Source organism: Homo sapiens, chromosome 8 (assembly GCF_000001405.40).
Source record: "Homo sapiens chromosome 8, GRCh38.p14 Primary Assembly".
Lineage (NCBI taxonomy): Eukaryota > Metazoa > Chordata > Mammalia > Primates > Hominidae > Homo > Homo sapiens.
This window is the reverse complement of record NC_000008.11, coordinates 63,014,945-63,039,509: the sequence shown is the minus strand read 5'-3', so window position 1 is coordinate 63,039,509 and position 24,565 is coordinate 63,014,945. Positions and strand designations below refer to the sequence as shown.

Below are 24,565 nucleotides of genomic sequence, written 5' to 3'. Positions count from 1 at the left end.
CTGACGCCGTTTGCAGGCGTGGCCTGGGCGTGCCCGCTTCAAAGTAGACGCCCGGAGTTGGCCCAGTTCTGACCCTAGTGATGCGCCTGTGCGTGTGTTCCTATCGCCGTCCCGTCTTCACTTCCTACAGATGCCGCGACCCCCCAAATAGCAAGTGTGGACATTCACATTCAGGGGCACAGGCTGTCCGTACAGCGAACGTTGTCACCATTCCCGGAGATAGGGCCCCGACCTTCAAGGGGGCGGTGCGGTTGGCGCGCAGTTCTCAGGCGCCTTCTAGAATCCCCTGCCAGCCTCCCCGCTGCCTGGTTACCAAACTCGGCCGGGGACACCCAACCTCCCCTCTCGAGGACCTGGGTTGGCCAGCCCAGCTTTGTACGGGTGACTGAAGTCCACATCGACGTAACAGTTGAAAGGGAAGGACGCGGAGACCACCCGGTACCCGCCCCAGGCGTTTCCAGAGTCTCCGCTTAGGCGGCCCGTGGGGGTCGGGGTCGCGGTCGCGGTCGCGGACCGGGGACAGAGCAATGGGGCGGGCGCGCAGCGCCGGCTGCACTCCCAGAGCCTCCCACCGCCGCCCCACGGCCGCCTAGCGCGCGCCGGGACTGCATTTCCCATAGGCCCACGCTGCGGAGCACCGCCCACCCGAGTCTCACGCGAGTGCGCTGCCGCGAGGTGTCCCTGCCGCAGCCCCCGCCCGCCCGCAGAGCTTTTGAAAGGCGGCGGGAGGCGGCGAGCGCCATGGCCAGTCCGGGCTGCCTGCTGTGCGTGCTGGGCCTGCTACTCTGCGGGGCGGCGAGCCTCGAGCTGTCTAGACCCCACGGCGACACCGCCAAGAAGCCCATCATCGGTAAGGAGGCTGTGCGGGGCCGCAGCAGACGGGGAGGAGCTGGGTGTTGGCGCTGGGCGCCTCCCGCCGCCGCGCTCCAGCTGGCGCGTCCCGCCGGGAAAAACCCCCAGATGTGCTTCGCTTTTGGTGCAAGGAGGAACCCGGGCTGGGCACCATTTAGGTCGTACTGAAATGTACCTGGTTGAGGTACCTCGTTCATTCCTTTAGACTCATATGACTCTTAAAGGTGGGAGGGAGGAGGGTGCACCATGAAGAATCCTGCGGATTTTCTTTTTTTGTACACAGCTAGGAATTTCTACTAAAATAAAACATTTCCTTTTCGCACATAGTTGGGAAGTTTTACTCATTTACATCTACAAATTCTGTACATGCATTGCATTCATCAAAATGTATTGATGGCGTATTTAAAATACCAGTGCATTGTAATAGAAAATCAAGAAATTAAGGTATAACTTGGATTTTGTCATGTTCAGTAGCAGAGGACAACAGTGGCTGATATCCTAATGTGAGTTCTATTTGGTGTTAAAATGCAGCCCACAATTTTTCGTTTCCAACATATTTGTGTTTTAAAGAGGTAGTAAAATCAGTCTGTGTTACCAAAACACACATTTGAGACAGGCCCAAGGAAAGCTACCTAGGAGAAATCATCCTGGGGTTAAAATTTGCCCAAAGAAATTTGTGTGTGGACATTAAGATTAGTTTTATTTTGGCTGTAGGATTATGCCTTTCATACTATTTTTTTCTATGAATATTATCACTGTATTCTGTAACTAAACAGAAAGTAGATGAATGTTTTTTCATATAGGTAGTGCCCAGTTTTCAAATGGGTTGCTTACTAATATTTGGAACTTATTTCATAGCTGTTTAACATGGTGATTTGATTCTCCACGAATTAACTCAAGCTGTAATTAATGTAACAGGTTGCATATTGTGTGTCCAGAGAAGAGAAAAAAAAGCAGAGGGGATTCTTCCCCTTTCCTAGAATCAGGGGTAGCCCTGCGTCAAATATTTAAAAAAGGGACTTTGCTTTTGGTCACTGAGATCAGCACAACATCGTTAACTGAGTACCGACTATGTACACAATCTTGCTCTGGGAAGTGCAAAGGATTGAAAGATGACAAGCCACAAAAGTTGTGAGATGGCCTTAAATTATTGGTGGAATTTTGGTCATATTTTGAGGGACAGGGAGAACAGCTTGAGCTCTTTTCCCAGGGATGGGAAAAGTGAATATGCGTGGGCCCAGGGGAAGGGGAGATGTTGGTGGAACTCACTCTGATGTACTTCTCTTTCTGGTACCCTTGTGCTCCCATGATGCCCCATGTCTCCTTTGTGGTACCTCACCCCATGTACCCTGTACCACTCCATTTCCTATGACACTCCTAGTTCTTCGTTCCCTAGCCAAACTTTGTTATTCCTTAGTGAAGATGATCTTACCTACCAGTAAGGAGAAAAAGTTTTACTGAACAAATTTTGGCGTTTGACATGTTAATCTGAATACCTGATGAATGCCAATTGTAAGAAGCTGGGAATACAAAAGTGAGTAATACAGACAACAGCTCTTCCTATCAGGTGGCCTACAGAGACACTGAAAGTGTTCCAAATGCTGAAGTGCTGAATAGGAGTAGGCACAGGTACTCACCCGACAGACGTGTTTTGATGTATACTGGTTGCTATACTCTGCTGGGGCTGGGTTTCACTGGTAAAAGGAGGCCAGAGAGATGGGTGGGGCAGAGCATACGGGTCTTACAGAGTTTATTAAAGTTTAGGGACCCACTGAGGTAGTTAAACAAAGTGGTGACACCTGCTTGCTGATCTATCGCTACCTGATGTCCTTTCCTATTGCTTTCTGCTTTCACTCACCTGGCTCTAATAATATGGATTCCTTGCAACGTGACAGGCACAAATCTGACTCCTGGCCTTTGCACTTGCTATTCCTTTGTCCTGGATTGCTCTTTTCCCAGATATATGAATGTGGTTTACTCTGTCACCTCTCTGAAGTCCTGGCTCAAATGTCATGTTTTACCTTCTCAGGGAGGACTTGCCTGGCCACCGTGTTGAAGAGACTGTCCTTTCCTACATAGATGGGCTCTCCTTCCCCACCGTCTTTCTCTCCTTAGTGCTTACGACCAGCCATCACTCTATATATTATGCCTTTTTGTCTTGTTTATTGTTTGTCCTCTTTCCCCTCCCTGCTACACCCTCGAATTAATGCACACAGGGCAGGGGCTTTTGTTTGGTTCACTCATAGTCATGTGTCCCCAGCAGCTAGTTTGTTGCCTGGCATGAGGTATGATTCAACAGTATATATTGAATGACTGTAGGAATAGGAATGGTGATATGATCCGATTTGCTTCTACATGGGGAGCTGCTTGGAGCTTGGGGGGGTTTCTTAAGAAAAGATATAACAAGACCTTCTAAGAGTCTATTATGATAGTGTGGTGGGGAGAGGGTAGATATTGATAGCTTGGGCTAAGGTAATGTTGGAGAGGTGTGGATGGAAGATGTTTTCACTCCTTTGCTTCGTTGTCAGGGAATCAGTGTGTCTGTGAGTATGTGTGGGAAAGGAGTGACAGCCTTGTAAATTTAAGGATCTATATTCTTTAGATGGATTCTAGGTCTACAGTTGTGTGAAGGCTGCAAGTGCTATTGTAAGCCTTCTTTGGGGGCTTATTTGGCCTCCCTAATGAGGTGAGAGATAGATCTACTTGAAAGTAAGATCAGCCTCCCCTGCTGCTTTCCCATAGGCTATGGGTGGACTTGGAGGAGAGACTTCCTATTTAATTCTGTGGATTGAAATAATAAAATATGATATTTTTGCTGTGATATATTTCAGTTTCTGAGCAAGAAGAAAAGGAATTTGCTTGAAACTAAACTTTTTTTTGTTATTAGGAATATTAATGCAAAAATGCCGTAATAAAGTCATGAAAAACTATGGAAGATACTATATTGCTGCGTCCTATGTAAAGTACTTGGAGTCTGCAGGTGCGAGAGTTGTACCAGTAAGGTATGATTCAGTGTTTTTTTTTTTTTTTTACTCTGTATAAAAAATTGCTGCGTACGGGTGCGGTGCCTCATGCCTGTAATTCTAGCACTTTGGGAGGCCAAGGCGGGTGGACTACTGAGGTCAGGAGTTCGAGACCAGCCAGGCCAACCTGGTGAAGCCCTGTCTCTACTAAAAATACAAAAATTAGCTGGGTGCAGTAGTGCACTCCTGTAATCCCAGCTACTGGGGAGGCTGAGGCAGGAGAATCGCTTGAACCAGGGAGGTGGAGGTTGCAGTGAGTTGAGATCGCACCACTGCACTCCAGTTTGGGCAACAGATCGAGACTCCATCTCAAAATAATAATTACTGCCTAATATCTCTAAAATTCGTGCTTTCTCTCTTATGATTACATTGTTTAAATGCAGTAACATTGCACCTGATTTTTGACACAAACATGTTGCTTAGAGTCTCTCATTGAATTGTTTAATGTGGGAAGCTGTGTGTTACCTGTAACGTCATTAGAGGTACCATATGTCATATGCATTAACATCAAGAATGAAATGATAGTTTCCTTTATCCCAGAAAAGGTGGTTCTCACAGACACTATGAAGGTAATGGAGTAAAATAATCTAAAGTGGTTGGGGGGGCGGGGTGAGGGATAAAAAATTACATATTGGGTACAGTGTACATTGCTCGGGTGGCTGGTTCATTGAAATCTCAGACTTCATCACTATACAGTTCATGCATGTAACCAAAAACCATTTTTACCCCAAAGGCTATTGAAATAAGAAAAAAATTTTAATGAATCTACAATTTAACCAGCTTTGTTCTATAATATTAGGATAAGAGAACAGTTAGGGAATGAAGGAGGTTTTTAGAAGATGACTTTTAAAATACCTTCACACTCTACTTTAAAAGTTTGTAAATTACCAGTGCATTAGGGTTGCTTCAGTGTGGATTATAGGTATTGCAGTTTTAAAGGCACTGCATTATTTTTGTGATAAAATGTTCCTATAAGAATAAAATGATTCATCTCATTTTCATTTAGAACTGAATTCTTCCCATATTTTTCATCTGGAAGGAGCTAACAACCAGAATCTTATAAGGATTTGTAATGTCTTGTCAGCTAAAATTAATGTATTTTAGAATCTTTGAGCACCTCATCTAATCCATTTTGAGTGATTTCACACATAAAACACTATTTATTCTGTACAGCCTGTTTTTGCAAACAATTCCTCATCAAAAATTATAACAAAAATACTGTTCAAATATAATACTACTAATAAAATGCAAATATTACAATTTAGAGAATTGTACCACAAAATGGCTTTAGGTTTAGATTTATAAGAATTGTCTTCTTGTATGATCTTTTACATTTAAATTAACTGTTTCTACACCAAGATTGCCATTTGCTTTTGATATTAGTCTTTAATATTTTAGTAGCCTATCTAATTTTTCAAACGAAATTTTATTTGAAGCCCATATAACGCCAGAGTTTTAGAGCTGAGGAAGAGGCTCCAGAGAGTCTTCAGAACAGTGTTTCAAAGTTTTCATCAGGGAAACTTTTTAATGCAAGCTGTTCTTCTGGGATGTTAGTGCTGACCGTGTGGATGGGAGATATATATAAAAATATATATATATTTTTATATATATTATATATATATATAAGGAGAGACATATATATATATATATAAGGAGAGACAAAAGGCAGAGCAGCCATAAAAAAGAATGAAATCATATCCTTTGCTGCAATGTGAATGCAGCTGGAGGCCCAAGTGAATTAATGCAGAAACAGAAAACCAAATACCACATATTCTCACTTATAAGTGGGAGCTAAACATTGGGTACACATGGACCCAAAGATGGCAGCAATAGATGCTGGCGGCTACTAGAGGAGGAGGGCAATAAGGGCTGAAAAACTACCTATTGGATACTGTGCTCACTACCTGGGTGACAGGATCATTTGTACCCCAAACCTCAGCATCACACAATATACCCATGTAGCAAATCTGCACATGTACCCTCTGAATCTAAAATAAAAGTTAAAATTATAAAAAATAAATGAAGTAAAATCATAACTGAAAGAGGAGACATTACAACTAATGCTACAGAAATAAAAAGGTTCATAAAAGACTACTTAAACTATATGCCAACAACATGTGTAACCTAGAAGAAATGAATAAATTGTTAGAAACACACAGTCTACCAAGACTGAATCATAAAGAAATAGGTAACAAACCTGTCACTGGTGGAGAGATTGAAATGGTAATCAAGAGCCTCTCAACACAGAAAAGCCCAAGACCAGCTGGCTTCACTGGTGAATTCTACCAAACATCTAAAGCAGAATTGATACCAGTCCTTCTCAAACTCATCCAAAAAATTGAAGACAGTACAATTCCAAGAATGAACCCCAGTGTAAACTAGGTCTTGGGCAATTATGATGTGTCAGTGTATTTTTATCAACTGTTACAGTGTACCACCCAAGATGTTAATGGAGGAAGCTATACATGTTTTGGGGCAGGGGTTATAAAGGAAATACTTAACCTTCTCTTAATTTTGCTGTGAACCTGAAATTACTCTAAAAAATAAAGTCTTTAAAAAAATAAAACAAAATGCCTAAAGGCAGGTAGACCAGTTTAGAGGTAGTTGCAGTAGTCTAGGTGTGAAGTGTTGAGGGCTTGGCTTACACTGGTGGTGTGGGAATGATAGGTAAGTGTTGTTTAAAAAAATCACCAGTACATGATGACTAATAAAAGGGCACAGGGAGGAAGAAATATATAAGGATGATGGAAGTTTTGAAATCATGGGAGTTTTGAAAGTGGATGACTTTGCAGAATATTGGTATTTATGAGAGATGCTGAGAACACGACTGTCAGCATACAGGTTTATTTCCAAATTGGGTTCTCAGAGTTCACTTAAGGTATATTGGAATCATGTGATCTTGTAGAAACAGTGTAATACATATGGGGTGAGTTCATAGACTAGCCTGTGAAGGATTACCTGATGCAAAATAAGACTGGATCATGATGATGTTAGGTTCATTTCTGAATTTTGGATGCTGGGAGTCAACTTCTGTGGTTTAGAAGTGAAAAGGAAGAGATGGGAGACCTGGGAAGCATTCTGAAATAGATGCAGAAATTTGTCTTTGGTTTCCTTCTGCCTTCTTTCTGCCCCTTCTGTCTCAGGCGCTTGGTGCTCTCAGGTTGTCATAAATGCCCAATGTGGGACTAGTGGAAAAGAGAATGTCCTGCTTCCTCAGAGGTAGCATACAGGAGCCCATGGACTGCTGCTTTTGGTTTAAAAACGTGTTTTGTTCACACAGCGTTTTAAAACATGAATCAGGCTGGGCGCGGTGGCTCACGTCTATTATCCCAGCACTTTGGGAGGCTGAGGTGGGAAGATCGCTTAAGTTCATGAGTTTGAGACCAGCTTGGGCAACATGGAAAAACCCCTATCTATAAAAAATTTTTAAAAAATGAGCTGGGAGTGGTGGCGTGCACCTATGGGCCCAGCTACTCAGGAGGCTGAGGTGGGAGGATCACTTGAGCCCAGGAGGTGGAGGTTACAGTGAGCTGAGATGGCGCTACTGCACTCCAGCCTGGGTGACAGAGCCAGACCTTTCTCAAAAAAACCCCAAAGACCACAAATCAAACTTTATAAGAGTCTGAATTTTTGTTTCTTTTGAAGACAGTTATCTAGATTGAGTTTTAAATGGGGCAAACACTCCCCATTGGCAACAATGCCTTACCATCCTTTTCATGCTGCTAAAGCTGTGTGTCATTTGCCATCATCACCAGGCTTAAGCCATTTCGTTACAGTTAAGGAGAGAGTAAACTGTTCCTCATACCTTGTTGAAAGGGACTTTTGTTTCAAAAAATGTCTGACAACATGCAACTAACAGCTGTATTCTCTGCCAGGGCCCCTAGGCACCAGAGTTGTGACATGGCACACTCCTTCCCCTGTGACAATTAGGTCTCTTAATAGAGATAAATGGGGACCAAAACTATAGTCATGGACAGTGTGGGAGCCATTTATTTAGAATTAATGAAATGACTGAAACTAGCTTGCACCGCTAGCTGGCAGGAATCCTTGGAGTGCAGCTGTGTGATCTAAATCCATTTTGGTCCCTGATGGCGATGGTTGCCCATTTTGGTTTAAATATCCATGGGGAGAATTCTGGGTCCTGACTGGCTGGTTCCTTTTTGTTGCCACAATCTGGGGAGATTAGACTGGCAGAATACTGGGTACATGTATATTGATATTTCACCTCCCTATCACTTCCCAAGGCAGGGCTACCTGTCAGTATTTTCTCCACTTAAGAATGGTAAGCACCATTCTGGTATCACCCATTGCTTTGTGGCTCTCGCCAGGAAGAGATTACTATGAACTTGTGAGAGACCTGGACTTGCAAAGCTTGTTTGGACTTAGAGTAGATCCCAGAGTTGTTTGCTGGCAAAACACAGCCTGTGTTCTGGATATCACAGGTGTCTAGTTAATAATGGGTGTGAGGGACTTTACCTCCCCCTAAAACTTCTTTGAGGGCAGAAATGGACTAGTTGACATCTAATCATAAGTCTACTTCTTTTAGGGCAGGTTGAGAGGACAGGTACCATTTATTCTGTCACAGAAACAGAAGGCTGCTAAATGTGGGAGAGTTCTTGCAAGGATTTCACTAACTTGGTGCTCTCTTCCCTTATTGTTGCATTTTATTGAACTTTCGGGAGAGCAGATATCTGTGACTTAGTAAATGTTGTCACCATATGTCACAGATTAAGCCCATCTTTTTTTTCTGGAGAAAGGGAATAAAGTCACCAATAACATGGCGATTGTTAGGAGGCCCTTAAGGGGTGTTTGATCAAGGGTCTTTCAGAGTAATTACCTGGGCAGTTAGGCTGTTCTACAGTCATCTCTCTGTGGTCCTCAGTTCAGACTAGATGTGAACCATCCTGACTTTGAAATGCAGAGTAGTCCCTAGACTGTTGCAACTAGTTTGTTGGGGTGGGATCAGGCAGCGACTTGGCATTTATTTATGCATTTTTTAATCTGCCAGAGCTTCCTGTAGTTAAATAGGCATGATAAATAAAGTTATTTAAAGGAGTCTTTACATAAAACTACTGAATATTCTTACATTTCTTTTTGTAGTTCTTGGTTAGTAGAGAAATTACTGGTGGCCAAATCTCACGGTCTTTACTGTTTTTGCATACTAACACATACTTCACAATATTAAATTGCATTAGATCACAGAAAAACATATTTACTTGTCTGATTAGCAAAACAAGGATAGAATGATGTGGCTTTCAAGTGGTTTGCAAAAATGCCTCTAGAAAAGTAGAGAGGTAATATTGTCTAGTAATTAAAAATTTGTTTTTATTTGGCTTTTTAAAAGTAAATGTGGAGACTTCATTTAGAGGTTTACTTCTAAGTTTCACAAATGTAACAATAACTTTTATTGTTTTCAGGCTGGATCTTACAGAGAAAGACTATGAAATACTTTTCAAATCTATTAATGGGTAAGTTGGCAGCATTGGTTTCATACGGTATATGAGTGGTCTACATATGTCTGCTTTTGTAAAAGAAATCATATAAATATTATACATGTTTCTATGTAACTGTCTTAGAGTGGTATAGTATTAGTGTTCTGAGTTCTTTTATAGGATTTATTTTCTTGGGAGATGCAAAAGTCCTTCAAAAGAGGAAGAGGCAGGTTAGGAAATGTATAATTGTTACATAGTAGACACACATAATTTTTTTAAATGTGTGACTTAATCTTTGTTCTTTTAATGCTTGTCTTAAATGTTTTGAAGCTACCTTGAATGGCGTGGCATACTGCTTGCATATGGGGTTTATAAGTCCAAAGTCTGAGGATGTTGATTTTTTTTTTCAGGTAAATTGGGAAAAAATATTCACCATTACTCTTAATTTTAGGAAAGAAGGCTAATTACAGCAATCAAAAACATTTAATTACCATGTTGGCAGAGATCAGAAAATTTGCTTATACTCTATGGGGCCTGTGAGGAAACAAGTGTGCTCATACTTTATTAGAGGGAATGTAAATCAGGTAGTCTTTTTTGGGGTAATATTGCAATACCTATTGAAATTAGAAACACGTATACCCTTTGACCTGGGAACTTGAGGAGGAATTTTATTTTATAAATATATTCCCACCTTGCATGAAGACTTAGACTCAAATCTATGCATTGTATTAGTAGTATTGTCTGACAGTCACCCCGTAATCCATCAGGTGAGAATTGGTTAAATAAAACAGACTATGTACATTCAATAGAATACTATGCAGGAATTAAAAAATGCGGCTATCTGTAGATGCTGACTTAGATCACCATTGTCCTATGAACAATGTGATAGTGTTATGTGAAAAAGGCAAGGCACGTGATGGTGTGTATAGCATACACCCCGTTTGCTTTTTGTTAAAGGTGGGGGTGAAGAGATATGCATATTTCTACCAAATCAACACAGCAGATTTTAATGGCAGTTGTTTCTGATTGGGAATAGGGTGGAAGTATTTTACTGTAAAATGTTTTTTTAAAAGAGCTTTATTATTTTTACTTCTAAAACCATGTTAATTTATTGTTTCTTTTAAAAAGCTATGTTTAGAAAATTATTTGCCTTCAGTTCAGTTTGGTTCAGTAAATATTTACCATAAAATCAGTTCAATTTAGTAAAACATTTACAATGCCCAGTATGTGCTGTGTGCAAGGTACTTTGGCATGGACAAAGATCATTAAGTCTAGGCTAGAATATAATAGTAGAACCTCAAAAATAGACCTTTTGAAACACTTCATTTTCTTCCCACCCTCTCCCCAGTTGCATTCCTGTTTGGAGAGGAATCTGAATCAAGTAGCAGTGTAGACAGGAATACATACTTTGGGGAGCTAGCCTGTCCAGATGCTCAGTATGTCTTCATGCAAACCAGCAAAAGGAGTCCATTTTCTATCTTCCTCACTCGTTTTCTGCATTGCCACTAATTGTTGCTCCTGTAGGCCCCTTTTCTCTCTCATGTAGTCACTGAAAGCTGCACTCCAAAGTGGGTTAAATTAGGGGCCTTATTTATATCTCTGAGTGTCACCAGAAAATGAGCCGTATTCTAATGTGACTTCAAAAGCACCTTTATTGAGTCACTGTTATGCAGTGGACCCCATAGTATTTTGCAGGGGAATGCAGAGATGAAAAGACAGAGCCATGCTTTAAGGAGTTTGTCATATAGGAGGGACAGTCAGGTTTTGCTGCATGAAAGGAGTTTGGGGTTAGACATACCGTATTTGGTCATAGGCAGCTTTTTAAATACTAAGTTAATGTCTGTAAGCTGGAGACCTGGGATGCAAAACATAAAAATTAAAAAAAAATACTGAGTTAATGGAAAGAGAGAATGCTAATGAGTCTTCACTAAGCCACTTTTAATTGTTGGATTTTCTGCTTGGATTTGTGGTAGATATTCTCCCACACAGATGCTTATATGTTTTCTACCAGACTGTGATCTTCCTAACAGCAAAAGCCACTCATGTTTGTCTCTCCAGGCAAGTCGAGTCTAGCTCATGGAAGAAACAGAATATATTTCTTGAATAACAACAATCACACAAGTGATATTTCACATATCTCAAGCTCGTATTTAAATATTTTCAAAATTTTAATATGATTAATACCATTTTTCTTACCTCTTTTGAATATCCTTGGTTCTTTCAAGACCTTGCTATAAATTTTAAATTTAAAGTTTAATTTTAAAAGTTGATATAAAAACATGGTAAAATATTTTTCTATATTTCACCTTTATAAGTGTGTAAAATAATATCAAATATTTTTGACTGCCTTCTTTTCCTAGGCTTTTTCTAGAATCGTAATTATGTTTCTTGAAAAAAATGTTCTAATACTGTGCGTGTTTCTGAAGAGACTCGGGGTGATAAGAATTAAATTCTTGTAGAAATTTAATTCTAGCTTAAATATATTTTTATGACCAGCTTGTTCTTTATAGTTAAATTATTTGTGAGCTAAAACCTACCCATAATTATGGACCTGCAATTGATTTGGCATCACAGATCACCTTCATTTAAACCTGGCTATACCTGGAATTTTGTCTGTCTTTGATGTCTAGCTCTGTGTACTCTTGCCCCTCCCCTACTTATTTACTTTTAATTTTCCCACACTCTATTTCATTAAATAAATTTTTTGAAGAAGTTTTTGGAAAATATGCACTAAAGTGTTGTTAACTGCTGTAGTTTCTGAATGGGATTGTAAATATTTTATATTTTCTTTTTTCTTTACTTTTCTAATTTTCTTCAAGGATCTTATTGCATATGTAATAAGAAAAATTGTTTTAAAATAAAAAGATTGTTTTCTGTGTGTGTATGGGTCGGGGGTGGCAAAATACACCCTATTTGATTTATGTAACGTTGTTTCAGAATCCTTTTCCCTGGAGGAAGTGTTGACCTCAGACGCTCAGATTATGCTAAAGTGGCCAAAATATTTTATAACTTGTCCATACAGGTAAATATCAGTTATTGCTTATTATTCCAGATGGGTTTCTGTAAGTTTTTGTGCGAGTGGTTCATTTTTTAAGCAGATGGTAATGCTCCCTTCAAAATTACCCTTAGCCTCATCATACCTTTAATTTTGAGGTGCCTGTTCTTGGCTGCTCCCGCCTATTTTCCATGTGCTTCATCTAATCCTGGGCTTCCAGAGACCCTTCAGAGCACTGCTGACTGCCCCTCTCTTGATGCTTGTTAATGTGAACCGTGTCCTCATGTAGTGTAGACATTCTGATGTCTCTCTCTGTCCTATTTTTTTTTTATGGGCATTGTTTCTATGTTATTAATTCTCACCTCTTCTTGAAATCTGTTCTTCTTCCCAACTCATTCAATCCTATTGGAACTTTCTTCACAGTTACCATAGACTCCATGTCAAGCAGAGCTTCTGAGCCTCTGACTTCTCCTTTGTAATGTTCACAGTGGGACTGCCTTTGTACCATAGCTCAAACCTTTGCTGTTTCTCTCCTCAACTATTAACAGTGATTTTTAAATTAATCTTGCTGGCCCTAGAATCTTACCAATCCCCCTTACACATTTCCCTAAATAACTGTTTTTAGCCTTTGAAATACTTGTTTCAAACTTTTAATAGCTAAGGTCAGTAATCTATAGGCTTTTATAGTCTTTGGGTCAAGATATACAGTGTGTCCACAGCTCATGTTTTCCAGCCTGTGTGGGAGCTTGGTCTGAAGAGAGATTAAGTGATAGCCTACTTATGGATCCTGGAGAATTCTTCAGAAATCCATGTGTAACTCAGGTGCCTATTTGGTTATGACAAAAGATATGGCTAATTTTTATTTTGAAAAGTTTGAATAAACTTAGTTTTCTCTTTTTCCACTTGCAAAGAGTTTTGATGATGGAGACTATTTTCCTGTGTGGGGCACATGCCTTGGATTTGAAGAGCTTTCACTGCTGATTAGTGGAGAGTGCTTATTAACTGCCACAGATACTGTTGACGTGGCAATGCCGCTGAACTTCACTGGAGGTAAGAGTACTCTTTTCAACCCTTTGAAAAATATTTGCTGGGCAGGATTAGTAAGTAGCAAATATGAAAGTAAAAGTGCTTATTTTTATTTTCTTTTTAGCCTTTTCCCTGAAGGAAAAAATGCTTATGACATTAGCATTTAAATTATTTACACAGGTTGAAGATGTGAATGACCATCCTTGTACTCATTTATGAGGATGACTTAAGGAATTGTGAATTTTAATAACTCATTGCTTCTAGTGATATCAGGACTGTGTGTGATGAAGAACTCTGAAATGGGATCTGGTTTTGACTCCTAGCTTTGTCACTTTTACCTTGAGGAACCATTTTACCTCTCTGAGGTTCAATGTCTGCATTTGCAAAAAGGTCTAATAACGCTTAGGGGTTTTTTTTGTGAATATTAAATAAGATTTTTTTTTTTCTTTTTAAGACAGAGTCTCTCTCTGTCACTCAGTCTGGAGCGCAGTGACGCAATCTCGGCTCACTGCAACCTCTACCTCCAGGGTTCAAGGGATTCTCCTGCCTCAGCCCCCTGAGTAGCTGGGACTACAGGCACCCTACCACACCTGGCTGAATTTTGTATTTTTAGTAGGGACAAGGTTTCACCATATTGGCCAGGCTGGTCTCAAACTCCTGACCTCAGGTGATCCACCCACCTTGGCCTTCCAAAGTGCTGGGATTAGATGATCTACCGGGAAGCGCTATATTTACTCAGCAACCAGGAACTCCAGTGAGTTTTGGTGTCTAGAGTTTTTACTGGAACGTTATTATGAAATAATTGATTGAATCTTTGCCTGTGTGATTGAACTCAATCTCCAGCCCCTCTTTCATACTTGGAGATTGATTGGGCTGGCTCGAAGTTTCAACTTTCTAATCATGAAGTTAGTTTTTCTGATGATTAGTCTTCATCCTGAAATAATTGAGGGACCCACCTTGAATTACCACATTAGCATAACAAAAATACTTATATCATTCCGGGAATTCCAAGGGTTTTAGAAGCTTCCTGTCAGGAACCCAGGACAAAGACCAGATAGATTCTTAGTGATATCACTCTGTATAAATAGATAATGATTATTGTGGGTTACTTGATCTCCGAATGCTTAGAATTGAAGCCACCAGCTATTTCTGTTCTCATAGGGATTTTGCAAGGAAGGTAGCAGTCATACTTAAAACTTGTAGAATGCTTTGTGCTTTTGAAAGCTCTTTCTTCCATTGTCTCACTTAATAATTGCAAAAACCTGGTGGGAAGTACATGTATTAGGTCAGAGTACTTTGGTTGTGTGTTGCCAGAACTCAGTTTATACAGAAAAGGAATGTTTCAAGGTGCTGTGGTTTTCATGGAAGTCTCTAGTAAGAATAAGGGGCCTGGTTTGAAACAGCTGGCACTATCGCCTTGAAAACGTCAGTTTCTTTTTTTTCAAAATCTGTTTGTTGGTGTTTGAGTCTGTGCAGAACCTTCAGGGTTGACCACTAAGATATATTGCTTTTTGATCTGTTTACTGAGTCAAAATTTCTTGGCTTGGTTCATGTTCTTTTCTACATTGTTTGTATTTTTATTTGTTTGTCCCAGATACCTCTGAAAATATGTTATATTTGAAAGTTTTGGATACTTTCCTGGGCAAATACATACACCCATGGAAAGTTTTAACTGTTTTTCAGAATAGTCTGTGGAAATCTAGTTAAGATTCCCTGCCTGTTCTTTAGCTTGCCAATACTCATATCGGAAGAATTTTACTTATTCATGTTAAAATTCTAGAAGAAGATTACTTATAGCTGGAGCATATTTGAGTTTATGTTAAACACATTTTGTGACTTGATTGGAATACTTCTATGGAAATGATGTGTTTTGCATATCATTTGGTCATCTTGATTATGTCTTCATAATGGCTTCTCTTTGGGTGCAGTAAGTGACTTCAGTGGATTTTATTTTTTTGTGTTTAAATTATTTCTCTTGTACTTAAATTATTTCAGGTCAATTGCACAGCAGAATGTTCCAGAATTTTCCTACTGAGTTGTTGCTGTCATTAGCAGTAGAACCTCTGACTGCCAATTTCCATAAGTGGAGCCTCTCCGTGAAGGTATCACACTAATTACACAATGAAATTAATATGTTTAGAATAACTGCAGAAGTAATCATTTTGTTTTATTTTCGTATTCTAGAATTTTACAATGAATGAAAAGTTAAAGAAGTTTTTCAATGTCTTAACTACAAATACAGATGGCAAGATTGAGTTTATTTCAACAATGGAAGGTATATCACTATAACATGTATACTTTATTTCACTTATTTTATATTTTTAAATTTTGATTTTATATGTCTCATCAATAAAATCATATTACTTTGGGGCTTGAAGAGGGGTGTTAGGGCATTTTGGGAGACAGGAGACATGTTTTGTCCATGTTTCAAATTAATTGCAGTTTTCCTGGGTATTTTCCTGAATGGGGTGGTGAAGAAGAAAAGTAAAAGAATAAAGGGGGCAAGGATGAAGAAAGAAATGAAGAAAATGACTTCTGTTTCTAGCAATATTGCAGATTAAATACCTTGACAGACTTTCCTCCAGCCAACAACAAAATAAATGTGGGTGATAGAGAAAAACATAGTAAATACGTTGATGAATTGGCAAAGAAATAAAGATACTCAGGTCCAAAATTTTAAGAGTTGAGTGGAATATTTAAACCAGTGTTATTATGGAATCAGGAGAACTTGAGACAAAGTCAGGACTCTCTATACGAATAGTATCTCATGGAGCGGGACCTGGATGGCTATACCAGCAATGTAAGGGTGAACTCAAAATACACCTAAAATCCCCCCTACAGAATGGCAAGGAGAATTGCCCATCCTGAGCTTTGGGGCTAAGGGAGTGGGGTGGGGGACAGTGAATAAAGCCTTGAGTGTTTATAATGATGGGCTGTTCTCCTAGTGTGGCCAGCATTATACTAACTGGGAAGTTGGACAAATCTTAAGTAAGTAATTTTGTTCAAGGTTGCCTTAGACTGGTAATGCTCTCATGTGTGAGGCTGAAGCAAATGTAAATAGTTTTTTTGAGAGGACCAGACATTCATCCCAGGCTTCAAGGAATTTCAACATATGAAGTTTGAAGGAAAATGAGTGCTTCACAGCCAAAATACTACTAATGCACAAGCAAGCACTGTGAATGAGAACTTGCAGAGATAACAGATGTGGAAGCAGACCTGCACAAATGTTAGATATTAGTATTATGAGATAAAGTATAATATATTTTAAGTTTTAAAGAAAGAAAAATGCTTGAAAATATAGGCATGAAACAATCAGATTTGAAAATAACCAAATTCAGCTATTAGAAATTATAATTGAGGCCAGGTGTGGTGGCTCATGCCTGTAATCCCAGCACTTTGGGAGGCCGGGGCGGATCACCTGAGGTCAGAAGTTCAAGACCAGCCTGGCCAACATGGTGAAACCCCATCTCTACTGAAAATACAAAAAAAGAAAAAAAAAAAAAGCTGGGCATGGTGGCATGTGCCTGTAGTCCCAGCTACTTGGAGTTGCAATGAGTCGAGATTGTGCCACTGCACTCCAGCCTGGACGACAGAGTAAGACTTACTCTGTTTCAAAAAAAAAAGAAGAAATTATAATTGAAATAAAACCCTCAGTAGACATGTTAATCAGGTTAGACACAGTTGAGGAGAAATTAATGAACTAGAATAGAAGATAGATGTGAAGGAAACATTCAGAATCCAACATACCCAGACATGTAAATGTAAATGCCAAATGTGTCAGAAGAAAGGTTGGAATCTGGAGGGTAAAGTGATTTCTAACTTACCTAACCAGAACTCTAGAAGGAATGGGAAAAAGTAGGACAGAGACAGACTCTTTTTTCCATATTAAAAAAAAAATTTTCAGGTGGATAAAAGACCTAAGGAGAAAGGCACACTACAATAAGGTTTTAGAAAAAATAAAGGAGAATGTCTTTATGATCTTGTTTGAGGGAAGGAGTTTTGAAGACAAAATATAAACAAACCATAAAGGAAAAGATTGATGAATTCAATCAAATGAAGAAGTTGTGTTCGTAAAAAAAAAATTACACAGAGAAGAAAAAAGGGAGGTATTTGTAATGCATATAACTGACAAAGGATATGTGTCTAGCTTATATAAAGTAAAGCTGTGATTTAAGAAGAAAAGATAGCTTATTAAAAATGGATATGAGGTCTGGGCATGGTGGCTCACGCCTGTAATCCCAGCACTTTCAGAGACCAAGGCAGGCAGATTTCTTGAGGTCAGGAGTTTGAGACCAGCCTGGCCAACATGGCGAAACCCCGTCTCTACTAAAAATATAAAAATTAGCCAGGCGTGGTGGCGCACGCCTGTAATCCCAGCTACTTGGGAGGCTGAGGCAGGAGAATTGCTTGAACCTAGTGGGCGGAGGTTTCAGTGAGCTGAGATTGCACACTGCACTCCAGCCTGGGTGACAGAGCGAGACTCTGCCTCAAAAAAAAAAAAAAAAAAAAAAAGGATATGAGATTTGAATGGATACCATCCAAAAAAACTTGATTGTCCTGTCCACTTATGGCTTGGTGAGATAAGTTGCTCAGTGTAATTTCTGATCAGGGAATGCAAATGGAAACCAAAGTAAAAAACCATTTATACCCATCAGATTGGCGAAATTAAGAAGCCTGCTGATAACTAGTGTTACCCAGGATGTCGCACAGCAGGTGCTGTCATGCACTTACGATTGGAAAACATTTTGGCATTTCTTAGTAAAATCAAACATTTTCCAGTTTTGTTACCTGGCAGTTTTATTCATTGGTTAAAAAATATCTTAATGAAATAATTTCATGTAGATAGAAATGTACGTGACATTTTGTTCATACCAGCAAAAAAATGGAAAACAACTCAAAAGTCCAGTAGTGCAAAGGATAAGTAATACTATACAGCTATTAAAATCAGTGAACACACCTGCATGTACCACTGAATGAATCATGAAGACAATTTTGAGTTAAAGAAGCAAGTCACAAGGGAATACATGCTGTATGTTTTCATTTATATGATGATTAAAATTTGGCAAAAAAGAAACAATGTTCGGTGGTAAATCTAAGGAAAGGTTGGGGTGATGAATAATTATGAGAGTCCTTCTCACTGGGCTGAAGGGGTGGGAGGGACAGTAGAAGGGCTTTGGAAGTATTAATCATGTTTCGTCCTCCCAATCCGATGTACCTTGCTACATCAGCATTAACCACCTGCCACCTGGATTGCTGCAGCAGCAGCCTCTTAAGGCTTCCACAAACCCATCTTCCAGCCACCCACTCGTGGTCTGCTGAAGTGCCAGTCTGATAGTATTGCCTGAACAAAACTCCTCAGTGGCTCCTCTGCATTGGAGGATGAAGTCTAGATTTATGAGCTTATTTCCTCATGCCCTCTCCCTGCCTTCACCTCTAGCTTGTACCCTGCACGACCTGTTTGCTACACACAGTCCCTCCACAGAGCCATGCTTCTTGCCTCTGCACTGCTTCTCATGTGCTTTCCTCTTCTCTGAAAAGCTCCCCCTTTCCCCTATTCCTTTCTCCTGATGAACTCTTAGCCATCTCGAAAAACCCAGGCCACTTGTCATCCCTAGAGGCCTTTTCTACCATTATTCCTCTTCTCCACAACCTTGGTGCTTTGTGCTGTGTGGGAACGTTTCTTAATGCATGTATTTGCTCTTGTTCTGTCATCCCTCTAGATGAAAAGCTTGTTGAGATCAGGAACTGTATCTTACTCTCCTTTGTGTTTCTAGGGCTCATAGATGTTGAATGAATGCCTAATTATTTAAATGATAGAATATTGGATTGGAAGTTAGGAAATCAGGTTCCATGTTGGTTCTGCTTTTGACTATGCCATACCAGGCTCATTTGAAAATTTTCTCCCACCTCCAAAATAGGAACACTTGAGATGCTTTATTATTTGCATATTTTCTTTCCACTCTTGATACTTCTGTCTAAATCAGTGAGGCAGGGCATGATTCCTAGTTTTCAGGAAACTGCACTGGTCTTTTAGTAATGCAGTTTACTAAAGAAGAGTAAATCTCACTCGTTACTGAATGTCAGTGACTTCAAAAAGTTTGTGGGAAAAATGGAATTAAAATATAAAAATAAAAACTGTAAACTTTATTTCTCAAAATAAGCTCTATCAAGTTTAAGACACTTTTGCCCATGATGATACCAACCTTTTAGTTCATCCCTAAAGAACTGAGGGTCCTGTGAATTGAACCACGTCAAATGCGGTCTTTTACATTATTAACAGAAATGAGTGCCCTTTAAAGATTTTTTTAAGATTAGGAAACAAGAATAAGTCAGAAGGAGCCAAATCAGGACCATAAGGTCCTAATGGCTTCCCATCAAAATGCTCACTAAATAGCCCTCGGATGAAAGGAATGAGGAGGAACATTGTCATGCTGGAGAAGGACTCTGGTGAAGCTTTCTTGGGCGATTTTCTGCTAAAGCTTTGGCTGACTTTCTGAAAACACATAAAAAGCAAACGTTACTGTTCTTTGGTTCTCCAGAAAATCAACAAGCAAAATGCCTTGGAGCATCCAAAAAAACATTATGACCTGTGCCCTTGACCAGTTCACTTTGGCTTTGACTGGACCACTTCCATCTCTTGGTAGCCATTGCTTTGATTGTGTTTTCAGGTTCATACTGGTAAAACCGTGTTTTATCTGCAGTGGCAGTTCTTCAAAGTAATGCTCTAGGATCTTGATCCCACCTGTTAAAAATGTCCATTGAAAGCTCTTCTCTTGTCTGCAGCTGATCTGTGTGCAATGGTTTTGTCACCGATCGAATGGAAAGTTTGCTCAACTTTAATTTTTCAGTCAGGATTGTGTAAGCTGACCCAACTGAGATGTCTGTGGTATTGGCTGTTGGTTCTGCTGTTTATTTGCGATCTTCTTCAGTTAAGACACGAACAAGATACATATTTTCCTGGCAAATTGATGTGAATAGTCTGCCCTGAGGGCTTCAACATTGTTTCATTCCTTCTTGAAACAAGTTATCCATTTGTAAACTGCTGATTTCTTTGGGACATTATCCCCATAAATTTTTTGTAAAGCATCAGCGGTTTTACCATTCTTCCATCCAAGCTTCACCGTAAATTTGCTATTTTTTCTGCCTTCAATTTTAGCAAAATTCATATTGCTGTTACAGGGGTTCTTTTAAAACTGATGTCTTGTCCTTCTTAGTGCCTCATACTGGATCCTGTTCATACAAGTTACTACAAGTTTATTTTGGTGCAAAAAAATGGTGAAATCCTTGCATAATTTTTTTCATAATACACGTTTTCCATGAGCTTTTTGAAGATTTCTTATATATATGTATCTTTTCCAACGCATGAAGCATTATTGAGGACAAAAATAGTCTTAAATCATAAAAAAGATTTATATCCAATATACTAGAAGGTCTGCCTTTCAATTAACTCTATGTAACAATTTCCTAGTCCCCCAGCCTGTGGGTCTCTTGCTGGTAGCTTCACAGGTAGTCCCAGAATAGAGGGGAAAAACGGCAGTGTCACACGGAAGTGGGGGAGGCAGGGAGCTGAGTGCCTGGAGCTGCATGAGGCAGGTGTTTCCTCTCGTGAATACCCACAAAACTGGGATAAAATGTTTCCCTTCTGTGGCCTGCTCTCTAGTCAGAAAGCTTACTGGGATGAGAACAGACAGTGCTCTTACCCCTAGATATCTCTTCTTTCATTAATTCACTTCATTTCTCCAAGTACTTTCTGATGGTGGTCATGGTTACAATTCCAAAGCAGAAAATAATAGAGGGGAGATTTGTTTTTTTTAAATCAAAATGAGGAAAGGCACATCTGAAGAAGAGACAAATATGTACATTTTTCTGAAGGTAACTATTACACATATTCACTTTTTTTTTGAATTGTGGAATTGTTCATGAGTATGTAAACATAGAGAGAGTAATATGAACCCTGGGTGTCTATCTATCAGCTTTGACAATTGTCAACAGCTCTGTTTCCCTTCTTGTTTTATGTCTGCTTTTAAACTTCTAAAAAATATTTTAAAAATTTATACCACAAAGTCATCAGTCATTCCATAGACTGAGAGAGAGACACAGTTTAGGCAGTTTAGGCAGGGTGTAAAAGGATACCAGAAGTGCTGCCATACTTCATTCTCATATGAATAAGTCATTATGGGAGGACAGGAAAGCATGCTACAAGACGGGAGAAAGAGACCCACTGCGGAAGAAACTTGTATCACCAATAAAATGTGCATCTGACTTTTGGACAGGGATAGATTCCTCAGCTCAGCTTCTACTTTGCTATGAGTATCTCGAAAAGCAAATCGTCCTACAGATTGTAAAAGGTTGCTAATCAGTGAAATACGTTACAGGGAATTTTCACATTGATTATGAATGGAAATTATTTTGTGTCTGAGAGAATATGTACAATTTTACCTTGTCTGATAAGGTGAATTATAAAATGTTTTACATAAGAAATAAACCAATTTCATTATAAGTAACATTTTAAACCATTCTTAGTACTTACTAATTTGTGTTCTTCTTACAGGATATAAGTATCCAGTATATGGTGTCCAGTGGCATCCAGAGAAAGCACCTTATGAGTGGAAGAATTTGGATGGCATTTCCCATGCACCTAATGCTGTGAAAACCGCATTTTATTTAGCAGAGTTTTTTGTTAATGAAGGTAATATGAGGGTACATAATTTTGTTATTCTGGGGTAGTTTTGAAGAAAATTGCCCTTATCTGAACTTTTGCCTACCCTTTTGCTCTATAAATGTTTTGTAAGTTCTATAGGTTTAACTTTAAAGAATAATACAAATGTTAAATAATGTGAAAGCCCTAAAATCAAGATGTAAGGTATTCTAATAAAACCAGGACAGTTACTTCAATTATCATACATGCTTCAGTGGGCAGAATTCTTGAACAACAGTGTGAAGAATGTTGAGAGTTTTTTTTTTGGTTTCTTTTTCTTTGTTATTTGTTTTTTGACAGGATCTTGCTCTGTCGCCCAGGCTGAAATGCAGTGATGTGATCATAGCTTATTGCAGCCTCAAACTCCTGGGCTCAGGGGATCCTCCTGCCTCGGCATCCTGAGTAGCTGGGACTACAGGTGCAGACTACCACACCAAGCTCTTTCTTCTTGGATACTTTTAATTTAGATTCTTCCCCATTACTCTCCATTTCTTAGAATAATGCTTTAATTCTAACAGTGTCTGAGAATTAGGTGTTACTTTTCCAAGACAGTGATACAAATTGAATATATACCCACCAGTTTGTGATTTTAAGGCTACCTCTCTGTAGGCATTGGCATACTGGAGAAAGCAAATAAACTCTGCCTGCTGTTTGGTGATGAAAACACAGACATATTCATGCTGTGTTATGTTTGTGGGAAAAATCGAGAATTTGGTTGTAGATGCCTATTTCTTAGTTGAGCATTATAGGTACAGTAAGTCCTACGATTTAAGCAGAACTGTGTGTAGCAGGTCCTTGAACAACACTGTTTACTTTGAAGTCGTTTCATTATAACATTGTTAGAAAAAAATTGGTTTTGTTATACATCGTTGTGCTTAAAAGTACTACAAGAACCTATCGATGACGTTAAGTGAAGACTAGCTGTGTAAGACAGAGGTACAAAAACAACTTGTAAACGGTAGAGATCACTTTGGTGAGGTATAGCCATTTAAAGACTTAAGTGAACTTTGCTTTCATTCCATCTCCAAGCTTGCCCTAAGTTTTTATCAACTCTCCTGCCATTGCTGGGAAGTCAAGTACTTCCTACTGAGTTCACTCTGCTTTAGAATCATGCAGAGCTGAGTGGATGGTTTTATGACAAAAACTCCAAATTAAAAAAAAAAAGTATCCCATATACAGTATTAGTCCAAAGGAACATTTTCATGAGTGCGTGGAGTGAATGAGGGCAGCAGTGGCAGTGCCGCATTTGCTGCAGTAGTAGTCATGTGGCATTTGGTCTATGTGGTCTTTTATCTTCCAACATTCTTTCTGAAAATGCCGTAAGAGCCTGTATTTACTTTGACTTTGGGAGCTTTAGGAGCTCTCACCTCCTCACATTCCAGCTTTCATCATGCCAAACTTCTCACTGTGCCTCCTGGTTTTTCATAATGCTGCCTTACCAGTGAAAATGTCTCACTTCTCTGTCTGCCTCAGCTTCACCAGTTTCTCCATCTTTTTTACTCTTGTAGCATCCAGTGATGATACACCATATACCATAAAAACATTTTTATCATATGATTCTGTGTGGTTACGAGGCTGAGCTTTTTGAGTGTTAGGACCTGTTCTGTTTATATTTCCATCCCCAGGCTGTGTTATCAAGTCTTGTGTATTTGATAGGTAGGTATTTGAATGAGTTGCGGAGTGAGCATAGCATGGGATATGCTGCAGGGGGAGTACAGCACAGCTGCTGTGGCCATGCGCGACTGTGCCATAAATCGGGCACTGCTTTATTTGGGGAAATTTTGTCAAGCATTTGCCTCCCTCCCTTCCTTGGTTCCTTCTTCTTCTTCTTTTTTTTTTTTTGGAAAGTAAGTTTGTTAGAGAAGTAAAGAAAAAAAAAGATGGCTGTTCTATAGGAAGAGCAGTCGCATTTCTCTTCTTGTTGATATTTTCCCACTTAATAATGCTGATTGCAGGAAGAAATATTATAAAATAGTCTCTTGAAGATTTTGTCATCTGATCTTTTTAAAAATTAACTTTTTTTCTTGCAGCTCGGAAAAACAACCATCATTTTAAATCTGAATCTGAAGAGGAGAAAGCATTGATTTATCAGTTCAGTCCAATTTATACTGGAAATATTTCTTCATTTCAGCAATGTTACATATTTGATTGAAAGTCTTCAATTTGTTAACAGAGCAAATTTGAATAATTCCATGATTAAACTGTTAGAATAACTTGCTACTCATGGCAAGATTAGGAAGTCACAGATTCTTTTCTATAATGTGCCTGGCTCTGATTCTTCATTCTGTATGTGACTATTTATATAACATTAGATAATTAAATAGTGAGACATAAATAGAGTGTTTTTCATGGAAAAGCCTTCTTATATCTGAAGATTGAAAAAAATAAATTTACTGAAATACAAATATTTTTTCTAATTGATTTGCTTGGGAAATAAATACCATCCCCTACCTGCCCACTCCATCCTCCTTGCTGAAAAAGAAAATAGTCTTTTAAAATCCTACCAATTGTTCATCTTGTTCATTGTGATGTCTCCGTC

The 24,565-nt window shown here is 39.2% G+C and overlaps 1 protein-coding gene across 2 annotated transcripts, besides 1 other annotated feature; it reads left to right on the top strand.

The window, feature by feature from the left end:
• Window positions 311-670: a silencer, noted in NCBI's record as "silent region_19240". NCBI's record gives its function as "represses an Ori minimal core promoter by ATAC-STARR-seq in GM12878 lymphoblastoid cells {active_cell/tissue: GM12878}" and the evidence as "EXISTENCE:reporter gene assay evidence [ECO:0000049][PMID:35858748]".
• On the top strand, window positions 704-24,431 carry GGH (gamma-glutamyl hydrolase). 2 transcript variants are annotated; one of them, NM_003878.3, is made up of 9 exons: window positions 704-850; window positions 3,740-3,854; window positions 9,293-9,343; window positions 12,245-12,329; window positions 13,214-13,352; window positions 15,324-15,430; window positions 15,513-15,603; window positions 21,880-22,017; window positions 24,057-24,431. In NM_003878.3, the coding sequence occupies exons 1-9, from the start codon at window positions 742-744 to the stop codon at window positions 24,176-24,178; spliced, it is 957 nt and encodes a 318-aa protein (NP_003869.1). In that variant the 5' UTR covers window positions 704-741; the 3' UTR covers window positions 24,179-24,431. The 2 variants fall into 2 exon arrangements, with proteins under 2 accessions (NP_003869.1, NP_001397855.1); NM_001410926.1 differs by lacking the exons at window positions 21,880-22,017; window positions 24,057-24,431 and adding an exon at window positions 15,771-16,002.

Bases quoted from the DNA above. Each gene is read 5' to 3' on its own strand.
- GGH (NM_003878.3), top strand. From the start codon at position 742: ATGGCCAGTCCGGGCTGCCTGCTGTGCGTGCTGGGCCTGCTACTCTGC. The intron at 3,855-9,292 runs GTATGATTCAGT...TATTGTTTTCAG, and splicing joins GCGAGAGTTGTACCAGTAAG to GCTGGATCTTACAGAGAAAG. The intron at 13,353-15,323 runs GTAAGAGTACTC...AAATTATTTCAG, and splicing joins GCCGCTGAACTTCACTGGAG to GTCAATTGCACAGCAGAATG.